This window comes from Homo sapiens, chromosome X (genome assembly GCF_000001405.40).
Source record: "Homo sapiens chromosome X, GRCh38.p14 Primary Assembly".
Taxonomy (NCBI): domain Eukaryota; kingdom Metazoa; phylum Chordata; class Mammalia; order Primates; family Hominidae; genus Homo; species Homo sapiens.
In genome coordinates, this window is record NC_000023.11 from 73694292 (window position 1) to 73709200 (window position 14909).

Consider the following 14909-nt stretch of genomic DNA (forward strand, 5'->3'; position numbering starts at 1 on the left):
TAATTTATTTTATGAGGGAAGCCTGCATCATTTTGATACCAAAACCTGGCAGACATAACAAAAAAAAAAAAAAAGGAAATTTCAGGCCAATATTCATGATGAACATTGCTGCGAAAATCCTCAATAAAATGCAACCAAATACAGCAGCACATCAAAAAGCTTATCCACCATGATCAAGTCGGCTTCATCCCTGGGATGCAAGGCTGGTTCAACATATGCAAATCAATAAATGTAATCCATCACATCAAAAGAACCAATGACAAAAACCACATGATTATCTCAATAGATGCAGAAAAGGTCTGTGATAAAATTCAACAGGCTTCATGCTAAAAACTCTCAATAAACTAGGTATTGATGGAACGTATCTCAAAATAATAAGAGCTATCTATGACAAACCCACAGGCAATATCATACTGAATGGGCAAAAGCTGGAAGCATTCCCTTTGAAAATTGGCACAAGACAAGGATGCCCTCTCTCACCACTCCTACTCAGTATAGTATTGGAAGTTCTGGCCAGGGCAATCAGGCAAGAGAAAAAAATAAAGGTATTCAAATAGGAAGAGAGGAAGTCAAATTGCCTCTGTTTGCAGATGACATGATTGTGTATTTAGAAACCCCATCGTCTCGGCCAAAAAACTCTTTAAGCTGATAAGCAACTTCAGCAAAGTCTCAGAATACAAAATCAATGTGCAAAAGTCACAGCATTTCTATACACCAATAATAGAGAGTCAAATCGTGTGAACTCCCATTCACAATTGCTACAAGGAGAATAAAATATCTAGGAATACAACTTAAAATGGATGTGAAGGACCTCTTCAAGGAGAAATACAAACCACTGGTCAAGGAAATAAGAGAGGACACAAACAAATGGAAAAAATTCCATGCACATGAATAGGAAAAATCAATATCATGAAAATGGCCCTACTGCCCAAAGTAATTTATAGATTCAGTGCTATCCCCATCAAGCTACCATTTACTTTCTTCACAGAATTAGAAACAACTACTTTAAATTTCATATGGAACCAAAAAAGAGCTCATATAGTCAACACAATCCTAAGCAAAAAGAACAAAGCTGGAGGCATCATGCTACCTGACTTCAAACTATACTACAAGGCTATAGTAACTAAAACAGCTTGGTATTGTATTAAAACAGATATAGACCAATGGAGCAGAACAGAGGCTTCAGAAATAATGCTGCACATCTACAACTATCTGATCTTTGACAAACCTGCCAAAAATAAGCAATGGGGAAATTGTTCCCCATTTAATAAATGGTGTTGGGAAAACTGGCTAGCCGTATGCAGAAAACAGAAACTGGATTCCTTCCTTACACTTTATACAAAAATTAACTCAGTTGGATTAAAGACTTAAATGTAAGACCTAAAACCATAAAAACCCTAGAAGAAAATCTAGGCAATACCATTCAGGACACAGGCATGGGCAAAGACTTCATGACTAAAACACCAAAAGCAATGGCAACAAAAGCCAAAATTGAGAAATGGGATCTAATTAAACTAAAGAGTATCTGCACAGCAAAAGAAACTACCATCAGAGTGAACAGGCAACCTACAGAATGGGAGAAAATTTTTGCTATCTGTCTATTTGACAAAGTGCTAATACCAAGAATCTACAAAGAACTTAAATTTACAAGAAAAAACCCCATCAAAGAGTGGGCAAAGGATATGAACAGACACTTTTCAATAGAAGACATTTATGCACCCAACAAACATATGATAAAAAGCTCATCATCACTGGTCATTAGAGAAATGCGAATCAAACCCACAATGAGATACCATATCACACCAGTTAGAATGGAGATCATTAGAAAGGAAACAACAGATGCTGGAGAAAATGTGGAGAAATAGGAATGCTTTTACACTGTTAGTAGGAGTGTAAATTAGTTCAATCATTGTGGAAGACGGTGTGGCAATTACTCAAGGATCTAGAACCAGAAATACCATTTGACCCATCAATCCCATTACTGGGTATATACCAAAAGTATTATAAGTAATTCTACTATAAGGACACATGCACACGTATATTTATTGCAGCACTGTTCACAATAGCAAAATCTTCGAACCCACCCAAACGCCCATCAATGATAGACTGGATAAAAAAAAATGTTGCACATAAACGCCACAGAATACTATGCAGCCATAAAAAAGGATGAGCTCATGTCCTTTGTATGGACATGGATGAAGCTTGAAACCATCATTCTCAGCAAACTAACACAAGAACAGAAAATCAAACACCACATATTTTCACCCATAAGTGGGAGTTGAACAATTAGAACACATGGACACAAGGAGGGGAACATCACACACCAGGTCCTATCAAGGGGTGAGGGTCTAGGGGAGGGGCAGCATTAGGAGAAACACCTAATGTAGATGACAGGTCGCTGGATGCAGCAAACCACCATAGCACATTCAAATTCAGGAAATACAGAGAACGCCACAAAGATACTCCTCAAGAAGAGCAACTCCAAGACACATAATTGTCAGATTCACCAAAGTTGAAATGAAGGAAAAAATGTTAAGGGCAGCCAGAGAGAAAGGTCTGGTTACCCACAAAGGGAAGCCCATCAGACTAACAGCTGATCTCTCAGCAGAAACTCTACAAGCCAGAAGAGAGTGGGGGCCAATATTCATCATTCTTAAAGAAAAGAATTTTCAACCCAGAATTTCATATCCAGCCAAACTAAGCTTCATAAATGAAGGAGAAATAAATTACTTTACAGACAAGCAAATGCTGAGAGATTTTGTTACCACCAGGCCTGCCCTAAAGAGCTCCTGAAGGAAGCACTAAACATGGAAAGGAGCAACAGGTACCAGCCACTGCAAAACCATGCCGAATTGTAAAGACCATCGAGGCTAGGAAGAAACTGCATCAACTAACGAGCAAAATAACCAGCTAACATCATAATGACACAATCAAATTCACACATAACAATACTAACCTTAAATGTAAATGGACTAAATGCTCCACTTAAAAGGAACAGACTGGCAAATTCGATAAACAGTAAAGACCCGTCAGTGTGCTGTGTTAAGCAAACCCATCTCATGTGCAGAGACACACATAGGCTCAAAATAAAGGGACAGAGGAAGATCTACCAAGCAAATGGAAAACAAAAAAAGGCAGGGGTTGCAATCCTACTCTCTGATAAAACAGATTTTAAACCAACAAAGATCAAAAGAGACACAGAAGGCCATTACATAATGGGAAAGGCATCAATTCAACAAGAAGAACTAACTATCCTAAATATATATGCACCCAATACAGGAGCACCCAGATTCATAAAACAAGTCCTTAGTGACCTACAAAGAGACTTACACTCCCAAAGAATAATAATGGGAGACTTTAACACCCCAATGTCAACATTAGACAGATCAACGAGACAGAAAGTTAACAAGAATATCCAGGAATTGAACTCAGCTCTGCACCAAGCGGACCTAATAGAGATCTACAGAACTCTCCACCCCAAATCAACAGAATATAGATTCTTTTCAGCATCACACCACACCTATTCCAAAATTGACCACATAGTTGGAAGTAAAGCACTCCTCAGCAAATGTAAAAGAACAGAAATTATAACAAACTGTCTCTCAGACCACAGTGCAATCAAACTAGAACTCAGGATTAAGAAACTCACTCAAAACTGCTTAACTACATGGAAGCTGAACAACCTGCTCCTGAATGACTACTGCGTACATAACAAAATAAAGGCAGAAATAAAGATGTTCTTTGAAACCAATGAGAACAAAGACACACCATACCAGAATCTCTGGGACACATTCAAAGCAGTGTGTAGAGGGAAATTTATAGCACTAAATGCCCACAAGAGAAAGCAGGAAAGATCTAAAATTGACACCCTAACATCACAATTAAAAGAACCAGAGAAGCAAGAGCAAACACATTCAAAAGCTAGCAGAAGGCAAGAAATAACTAAGATCAGAGCAGAACTGAAGGAAATAGAGACACAAAAAACCCTTCAAAAAATCAATGAATCCAGGAGCTGGTTTTTTTGAGAAGATCAACAAACTTGATAGACCGCTAGCAAGACTAATAAAGAAGAAAGAGAAGAATCAAATAGATGCAATAAAAAATGACAAAGGGGATATCACCACCAATACCACAGAAATACAAACGATCATCAGAGAATACTATAAACACCTCTACACAAATAAACTAGAAAATCTAGCAGAAATGGATAAATTCCTCGACACATACACTCTCCCAAGACTAAACCAGGAAGAAGTTGAATCTCTGAATAGACCAATAACAGGCTCTGAAATTGAGGCAATAATTAATAGCTTACCAACCAAAAAAAGCCCAGGACCAGATGGATTCACAGCCGAATTTTAGCAGAGGTACAAGGAGAAGCTGGAACCATTCCTTCTGAAACTATTACAATCAATAGAAAAAGAGGGAATCCGCCCTAACTCATTTTATGAGGCCAGCATCATCCTGATACCAAAGCCTGGCAGAGACACAACAAAAATAGAGAATTTTAGACCAATATCCTTGATGAACATTGATGCAAAAATCCTCAATAAAATACTGGCAAACAGAATCCAGCAACACATCAAAAAGCTTATCCACCATGATCAAGTGGGCTTCATCCCTGGGATGCAAGCCTGGTTCAACATACGCAAATCACTAAATGTAACCCAGCATATAAACAGAACCAAAGACAAAAACCACATGATTATCTCAATAGATGCAGAAAAGGCCTTTGACAAAATTCAACAGCCCTTCATGCTAAAAACTCTCAATAAATTAGGTATTGATGAGACATATCTCAAAATAATAAGAGCTATCTATGACAAACCCACAGCCAATATCATACTGAATGGACAAAAACTGGAAGCATTCCCTTTGAAAACTGGCACAAGACAGGGATGCCCTCTCTCACCACTCCTATTCAACATAGTGTTGGAAGTTCTAGGAAATCAGGCAGGAGAAGGAAATAGAGGGCATTCAATTAGGAAAAGAGGAAGTCAAATTGTCCCTGTTTGCAGATGACATGATTATATATCTAAAAAACCCCATCGTCTCAGCCCAAAATCTCCTCAAGCTGATTAGCAACTTCAGCAAAGTCTCAGGATACAAAATCATGTGCAAAAATCACAAGCATTCTTATGCACCAATAACAGACAAACAGAGAGCCAAATCATGAGTGAACTCTCATTCACAATTGCTTCAAAGAGAATAAAATACCCAGGAATCCAACTTACAAGGGATGTGAAAGCCCTCTTCAGGGAGAACTACAAACCACTGCTCAATGAAATAAAAGAGAATATAAACAAATGGAAGAACATTCCATGCTCATGGGTAGGAAGAATCAATATCGTGAAAATGGCCATACTGCCCAAGTTAATTTATAGATTCAATGCCATCCCCATCAAGCTACCAATGACTTTCTTCACAGAATCAGAAAAAACTACTTTAAAGTTCATATGGAACCAAAAAAGAGTCCACATTGCCAAGTCGATCCTAAGCCAAAAGAACAAAGCTGGAGGCATCACGCTATCTGACTTCAAACTATACTCCAAGGCTACAGTAACCAAAACAGCATGGTACTGGTACCAAAACAGAGATATAGATCAATGGAACAGAACAGAGCCCTCAGAAATAATGCTGCATATCTACAACTATCTGATCTTTGACAAACCTGAGAAAAACAAGCAATGGGGAAAGGATTCCCTATTTAATAAATGGTGCTGGGAAAACTGCTAGCCATATGTAGAAAGCTGAAACTGGATCCCTTCCTTATACCTTATACAAAAATTAATTCCAGATGGATTAAAGACTTAAACGTTAGACCTAAAACCATAAAAACCGTAGAAGATAACCTAGGCATTACCATTCAGGACATAGGCATGGGCAAGGACTTCATGTCTAAAACACCAAAAGCAATGGCAACAAAAGACAAAATTGACAAATGGGATCTAATTAAACTAAAGAGCTTCTGCACAGCAAAAGAAAACACCATCAGAGTGAGCAGACAACGTACACAATGGGAGAAAATTTTTGCAACCTACTCATCTGACAAAGGACTAATATCCAGAATCTACAATGAACTCAAACAAATTTACAAGAAAAAAACAAACAACCACATCAAAAAGTGGGCGAAGGATATGAACAGATGCTTCTCAAAAGAAGACATTTATGCAGCCAAAAAACACATGAAAAAATGCTCATCATCACTGGCCATCAGAGAAATGCAAATCAAAACCACAATGAGATACCATCTCACACCAGTTAGAATGGCGATCATTAAAAAGTCTGGAAACAACAGGTGCTGGAGAGGATGTGGAGAAATAGGAACACTTTTACACTGTTGGTGGGACCGTAAACTAGTTCAACCATCGTGGAAGTCAGTGTGGCGATTCCTCAGGGATCTAGAACTAGAAATACCATTTGACCCAGCCATCCCATTCCTGGGTATATACCCAAAGGATTATAAATCATGTTGCTATAAAGACATATGCACACGTATGTTTATTGCAGCACTATTCACAATAGCATAGACTTGGAACCAACCCAAATGTCCAACAATGATAGACTGGATTAAGAAAATGTGGCACATATACACCATGGAATACTGTGCAGCCATAAAAAAGGATGAGTTCATGTCCTTTGTAGGGACATGGATGAAACTGGAAATCATCATTCTCAGTAAACTGTCGCAAGAACAAAAAACCAAACACCGCATATTCTCACTCATAGGTGGGAATTGAACAATGAGAACACATGGACACAGGAAGGGGAACATCACACTCTGGGGACTGTTGTGGGATGGGGAGAGGGGGGAGGGATAGCATTAGGAGATATACCTAATGCTAAATGACGAGTTAATGGGTGCAGCACACCAGCATGGCACATGTATACATATGTAACTAACCTGCACATTGTGCACATGTACCCTAAAACTTAAAGTATAATAATAATAAAAGAAAAGAAAATGTGGCACATATACACTGTGGAATACTATGCAGCCATAAAAAATGATGAGTTCATGTCCTTTGTAGGGACATGGATGAAGCTGGAAACTATCATTCTCAGCAAACGTTCGCAAGGACAAAAAACCAAACACTGCATGTTCGCACTCATAGGTGGGACTTGAACAATGAGAACACATGGACACAGGAAGGGGAGCATCACACACCAGGGACTGTTGTGGGGTGGGGGGAGTGGGGAGGGATAGCATTAGGAGATATACCTAATGCTAAATGACGAGTTAATGGGTGCAGCACACCAACATGGCACATGTATACATATGTAACGAACCTGCACATTGTGTACATGTAACCTAAAACTTAAAGTATAATAATAATAAGAAAAATGAATAAATAAATAAAAATAAAAATACGTTGTGCAAAGTGAAAAAAAAAAGAAGCTCAGGAAAGGTTTTTCCTTACCAGCTCTCCATAAAAGTTGTCTTCAAAGACAGTTCTTTGGCTATGCAGAAATCCTAAATTGCAAACCCATTTTGATTGTTTTATTAGGGTACTCCCAGCTGAGAGATGTTAAAGGCTGGAGGATACTGACTTCTGTTATTATCCAGGTCTATTGGAACATCCTGTGGCTTTACTCAGCAGGTGAGGGTGCAATCATCTCACAATCTCCTGACTCCACTTTGAAGTCTTAGCCTTGAGTACATCCTTTAGACTCCACCTCTGTGGGCAGGGCATAGCTGAACAAAAGACAGTAGACAACTTCTGCAGACTTAAACCTCCCTCTCTTACAGCTCTGAAGAGAGCAGTGGTTCTCCCAGCATGGCATTTGAGCTCTGAAAACGGACAGACTGCCTCCTCAAGTGGGTCGCTGGCCCCTGTGTAGTTAACTGGGAAACATCTCCCAGTAGTGGTCAATAGACACATCATATAGGCAGCTGCCCCTCTGTGACAAAGTTTCCAGAGGAAGGCTCAGGCAGCAATATTTGCTGTTCTGCAATATTTGCTGTTCTCCAGCCTCTGTTGGTGATACCCAGGGAAACAGGGTCTGGAGTGGACCTCCAGCAAACTCCAACAGACCTGCAGCTGAGGGACCTGACCGTTAGAAGGAATACTAACAAACAGAAAGGAATAGTGTCAACATCAACAAAAACGTCATCTACACCAAAACCCCATCTGTAGGTCACCAACATCAAAGATCAAAGGTAGATAAAACCACAAAGGTGGGGAGAAACCAAACCAGAAAAGCTGAAAATTCTAAAAATCAGAGCACCTCTGATCACAGCTCCTCGCCAGCAATGGAACAAAGCTGGATGGAGAATGACTACAGAAGTAGGCTTCAGAAGATCGGTAATAACAAACTTCTCCAAGCTAAAGGAGGATGTTCAAACCCATCACAAGGAAGTTAAAAACCTTGAAAAAATATTAGATGAATGGCTAACTAGAATAAACAGTGTAGAGAATACCTTAAATGACCTGATGGAGCTGAAAACCATGGCACGAGAACTTAGTGATGCATGCACAAGCTTCAACAGCCAATTCGATCAAGTGGAAGAAAGGGTATCAGTAATTAAAGCTCAAATTAATGAAGTAAAGTGAGAAGACAAGGTTAGAGAAAAAAAGAGTAAAAAGAAATGAACAAAGCCTCCAAGAAATATGGGACTATGTGAAAAGACCAAATCTACATTTGATTGGTGTACCTGAAAGTGATGGGGAAAATGGAACCAAGTTGGAAAACACTCTTCAGGATATTGTCCAGGATAACTTCCCCAGCTGAGCAAGGCAGGCATTCAAATTCAGGAAATACAGAGAACACCACAAAGATACTCCTCAAGAAGAGCAACCCCAAGACACATAATCGTCAGATTCACCAAGGTTAAAATGAAGAAAAAAGTGTTAAGGGCAGCCAGAGAGAAAGGCCAAGTTACCCACAAAGGGAAGCCCATCAGACTAAGAGCGGATCTCTTGGCAGAAACCCTACAAGCCAGAAGAGTGGGGGCCAATATTCAACATTCTTAAAGAAAAGAATGTTTAATCCAGAATTTCATATCCAGCCAAACTAAGCTTCATAAGAGAAATAAAATCCTTTACAGACAAGCACATGCTGACAGATTTTGTCACCACCAGGCCTGCCTTACAAGAGCTCCTGAAAGAAGCACTAAACGTGGAAAGAAACACCGGTAACAGCCACTGCAAAAACATGCCAAATTGTGAAGACCATCGATGTTATAAAGAAACTGCATCAATTAATGGGCAAAATAACCAGTGAACATCATAATCACAGAAACAAATTCACACATAACAATATTAACCTTAAATGTAAATGGACTAAATGCCCCAATTAAAAGAGACACAGACTGGCAAATTGGATAGTCAAGACCCATCAGTGTGCTGTATTCAGGAGACCCATCTCATGAGCAAAGATGCACATAGGCTCAAAATAAAGGGATGGAGGAAGATCTACCAAGCAAATGGAAATCAAAAAAAAAAAAAAAAAACGGGTTGCAATCCTAGTCTCTGATAAAACAGACTGTAAACCAACAAAGATCAAAAGAGACAAATAAGACCATTGCATAATGGTAAAGTGATCATTTCAACAAGAAGAGCTAACTATCCTAAATATATATGCACCCAATACAGGAGCACTCAGATTCATAAAGCAAGTTCTTAGAGACCCACAAAGAGACTGAGACTCCCACACAATAATAATGGGAGACTTTGACACCCCACTGTCAATATTAGACAGATCAATGGGACAGAAGGTTAACAAGGATATCCAGGACCTGAGCTCAGTTCTGCAACAAGCAGACCTAATAGAGATCTACAGAACTCTCCACCCCAAATCAACAGAATATACATTCTTCTCAGCACGACATCGCACTTATTCTAAAATTGACCACATAGTTGGAAGTAAAGCACTCCTCAGCAAATGTAAAAGAACAGAAATCACAACATACTGTCTCTCAGACCACAGTGCAATCAAATTAGAACCCAGGATTCAGAAACACTCAAAACCACACGACTACATGGAAACTGAACAACCTGCTCCTGAATGACTACTGGGTAAATAACGAAATGAAGGGAGAAATAAAGATGTTCTTTGAAACCAATGAGAACAAAGACACAACATACCAAAATCTCTGGGACACATTTAAAGCGTGTGTAGAGGAAAATTTACAGCACTAAATGCCCACATGAGAAAGCAGGAAAGATCTAAACTTGACACCCTAACATCACAATTAAAAGAACCAGAGAAGCAAGAGCAAACAAATTCAAATGCTAGCAGAAGGCAAGAAATAACTAAGATCAGAGCAGAACTGAAAGAGATAGAGGCACAAAAAACCCTCCAAAAAATCAATGAATCCAGGAATTGGTTTTTTAAAAAGATCAACAAAATTGAAAGACTGCTAACAAGACTAATAAAGAAAAAAAGAGAAAAGAATCAAATAGATGCAATAAAAAAATGATAAAGGGGATATAACCACTGATCCCACAGAAATACAAACTACCATCAGAGAATACTATAAACACCTTCATGCAAATAAACTAGAAAATCTAGAAGAAATGGATAAATTCCTGGACACATACATTCTTCCAAGACTAAAGCAGGAAGAAGTCAAATCTCTGAATAGGCCAATAATAGGCTCTGAAATTGAGGCAATAATTAATAGCCAAAAGTCCAGTACCAGACAGATTCACGGCCAAATTCTACCAGAGGTACAAAGAGGAGCTGGTACCATTCCTTCTGAAATTATTCCAATCAATAGAAAAAGAGGGAATCCTCCCTAACTCATTCTATGAGGCCAGTACCATCCTGATACCAAAGCCTGGCAGAAACAACAAAAAGAGAATTTTAGACCAATGTCCCTGATGAACATCGATGCAAAAATCCTCAAAAAAATACTGGCAAACAGAATCCAGCAGCACATCAAAAAGCTTATCCACCACGATCAAGTCAACTTCATCCCTGGGATGCAAGGCTGGTTCAATGTACACAAATCAATAAACGTAATCCATCACATCAACAGAACCAATGATAAAAACCACATGATTATCTCAATAGATGCAGAAAAGGCCTTTGACAAAATTCAACAGCCCTTCATGCTAAAAACTCTCAATAAACTAGGTATTGATGGAACACATATCAAAATAATAAGATCTATTTATGACAAACCCACAGCCAATATCATACTGAATGGGCAAAAACTGGAAGCATTCCCTTTGAATACCAGTGCAAGACAAGGATGTCCTCTCTCACCACTCCTATTCAACATAGTGTTGGAAGTTCTGGCCAGGGCAATCAGGTGAGAGAAAGATATAAAGGGTATTCAGTTAGGAAATGAGGAAGTCAAATTGTCCCTGTTTGCAGATGACATGATTGTATATTTAGAAAACCCCATCGTCTTAGGCAAAAATCTTCTTAAGCTGATAAGCAATTTCATCAAAGTCCCAGAATACAAAATCAATGTGCAAAAATCACAAGCATTCCTATTCACCACTAACAGACAGAGAGCCAAATCATGAGTGAACTCCCTTTCACAATTGCTACAAAGAGAATAAAATACCTAGGAATCCAACTTACAAGGGATGTGAAGGACCTCTTCAAGGAGAACTATAAAACACTGCTCAATGAAATAAAAGAGGATGCAAACAAATAGAAGGATATTCCATTCTCATGGATAGGAAGAATCAATATCATGAAAATGGCCATACCGCCCAAAGTAGTTTATAGATTCAATGCCATCACCATCAAGCTACCAATGACTTTCTTCACAGAATTGGAAAAAACTACTTTAAAGTTCATATGCAACCAAAAACTAGCCCACATTACCAAGACAATCCTAAGCAAAAAGAACAAAGCTGGAGGCATCATGCCACCTGACTTCAAACTATACTACAAGGCTACAGTAACCAAAACAGCATGGTACTGGTACCAAAACAGATATATAGACCAATGGAACAGAACAGAGGCCTCAGAAATAACATCACACATCTACAACCATCTGATCTTTGACAAAACTGAGAAAAACAAGCAATGGGGAAAGGATTCCCTATTTAATAAATGGTGCTGGGAAAACTGGCTAGCCATATGTAGAAAGCTGAAACTGGATCCCTTCCTTACACCTTATACAAAAATAAATTCGAGATGGATTAAAGACTTAAATGTTAGACCTAACACCAGAAAAACCCTAGAAGAAAACCTAGGCAATACCATTCAGGACATAAGCATGGACAAGGACTTCATGACTAAAACACCAAAAGCAATGGCAACAAAAGCCAAAATAGACAAATGGGATCTAATTTAACTAAAGAGCTTCTGCATGGCAAAAGAAACTACCATCAGAGTGCACAGGCAGCCTGCGGAATGAGAGAAAATTTTTGCAATCTACCCATCTGACAAAGGGCTAATATCCAGAATCTAAAAAGAACTCAAACAAATTTACAAGAAAAAAACAACCCCATCAAAAAGTGGGCAAAGTATATGAACAGACACTTCTCAAAAGAAGACATCAGTGCAGCCAAAAAACACATGAAAAAATGCTCATCATCACTGGCCATCAGAGAAATGCAAATCAAAACCACAGTGAGATACCATCTCACACCAGTTAGAATGGCAATCATTAAAAAGTCAGGAAGCAACAGATGCTGGAGAGCATGTGGAGATATAGGAACACTTTTATACTGTTGGTGGGAGTGTAAATTAGTTCAACCATTGTGGAAGACAGTGTAGCGATTCCTCAAGGATCTAGAACTAGAATTACCATTTGACCCAGCAATTCCATTACTGGGTATATACCCAAAGGATTATAAATCATGCTACTATAAAGACACATGCACATGTATGTTTATTGTGGCACTATCCACAATAGCAAAGACTTGAAACCAACCCAAATGTCCAATGATAGACTGGATAAAGATAATGTGGCACATATACACCATGGAATACTATGCAGCCATAAAAAATGATGAGTTCATCTCCTTTGCAGGGACATGGATGAAGCTGGAAACCATCATTCTCACCAAACTATCACAAGGACAGAAAACCAAACACCAGATGTTCTCACTCATAGGTGAGAATTGAACAATGAGATCACCTGGACACAGGGCGGGGAACATCACACACCAGGGCTTGTTGCAGGGTGGGGACTGGGGGAGGGATAGCATTAGGAGAAATACTTAATGTAAACGATGAGTTGATGGATGCAGCAAACCAACATGGCGCATGTATACCTATGTATCAAACCTGCACATTGCGCACATGTACCCTAGAACTTAAAGTATAATAATAATAATAAAAAGAAAAAGAAAAAAGAAAAAATAACTTATAACCTTGTTGAACAGTGAGTCCTCTTATGTGTCATTCTGAGTAGGGTTTTTTTCATAGATTCTAATAATACCAATTTATTATTGGAACCATACCATAAATCTCTTGTTGGGCAAATAATGCAACCATTATCAGCCCAAATAAATTTTTATTTATGTGGTACTCAAGACTGACCATGTTTAACAACATCATTTATATCCTTTTTTGGAAAATAATGTTAGCTGTAAGGTTTTCAGTCTTAGTAAAACTCAAGGCAGGCACTTTTACTGCATGATCAGCCAAGTTGTTTCCTTTATCCTCATCAGATTTCAATTTTAATTACTTGTAAATTTTAAAATAACTAAAAGAGTATAACTGGATTTTGTAACACAAAGGATAAATTATTGCCCAGAAATTTCAATTATGGCCAAGGCAGGGGGGATGTTGAATTTTATAAATTATTGACAAAAGTTTTATTTTTAATTTGATTCCCTTTGGAGGAAAAAAAAATTCCTCTTCATTTCCAAAGCATGCTACTGATGAACAATCCCAAAGGCATAATGGCTACCAGTGTAAAGGTTTGCAGTTTTACCTTTTGCCAGGACACAAACTCTGGTTAAGCCATAAATTCTGCTTGTTGGGCCAAAGTAGCCATCAAGAGCAGGGCTAATTCAACTACTTCATAAAGGATAGTGATAGAATTTCCAGCATAGTTTTCTTCATTACATATCATATATGATCCATCAGTAAACCATGAAAGTTATGTGTTTGGTACAGGAGTTTCTTGTAAATCAACTCTAGGCTTTAGTGGCTAGTCAATTCAATTTAGACAGTCATGAGGTGTCTTCATCAGGTGGGGGAAGGAGGGTTGCTGGATTAAGATTATTGCAGTCAGAAAGAATAATACCAGGAAAAATCAAAAGCAACTTCTTAGAATAAATGAGTCTTCTTGCAGATAGATGTTGAGTATCATAAGAGTTGAGTAAAGTTTCTACAGCATGAGGAACATAGATAGTGAGAGGTGATCCCATGACTATTTCTTTCATATATTTAGACAAAGCCACAGTGGCTCATATAGCTCTCATGCAGGGAGAAAGTCCCTTAGCTACTGAATCTAATTGCTGGCTATAATAGCCAAGGAGTCTGTATTGATCTCCACATTTTGGGGTAAAGACCTCTAATGCATGTCCTTCTCTTTCATGCATGAAAAGGAAGGAGGGGAGCTCATAATTGGGGTGCCCTAAGGCAGAACTCAGAAAGTCTTTGAATTGATAGAAGGCTATACAAGCATTCTCTTCCCAGTCCAGGGAATCCGGTTTGCTAACTTTCAGAAGAGTGTATAATGGTTGAGCTATCAAAGAAAAATTAGGTATTCAGTTTTGACAGAACACTGCCAGGCCCAAACCCCCTTGTAATTGTCTCTTAGTCTAAGACTGAGGAAAGCTTAAAATGTTTATCAGGATCCAAGAGAAGTCCTTGGTTTGATATCTAGTGTCTTGAATATTTGATATGGGCCTGAATAGATTGGAGTTTTTCTCTGGAAACCTTTTATGGCTTTTGTCTGCTAGAAGTTTAAGGATTTGAATGCTATCATGTTCACAGACCCCTTTAGAAGGGGACAGAGAAGGAGATTATCAGCATACTGCAAG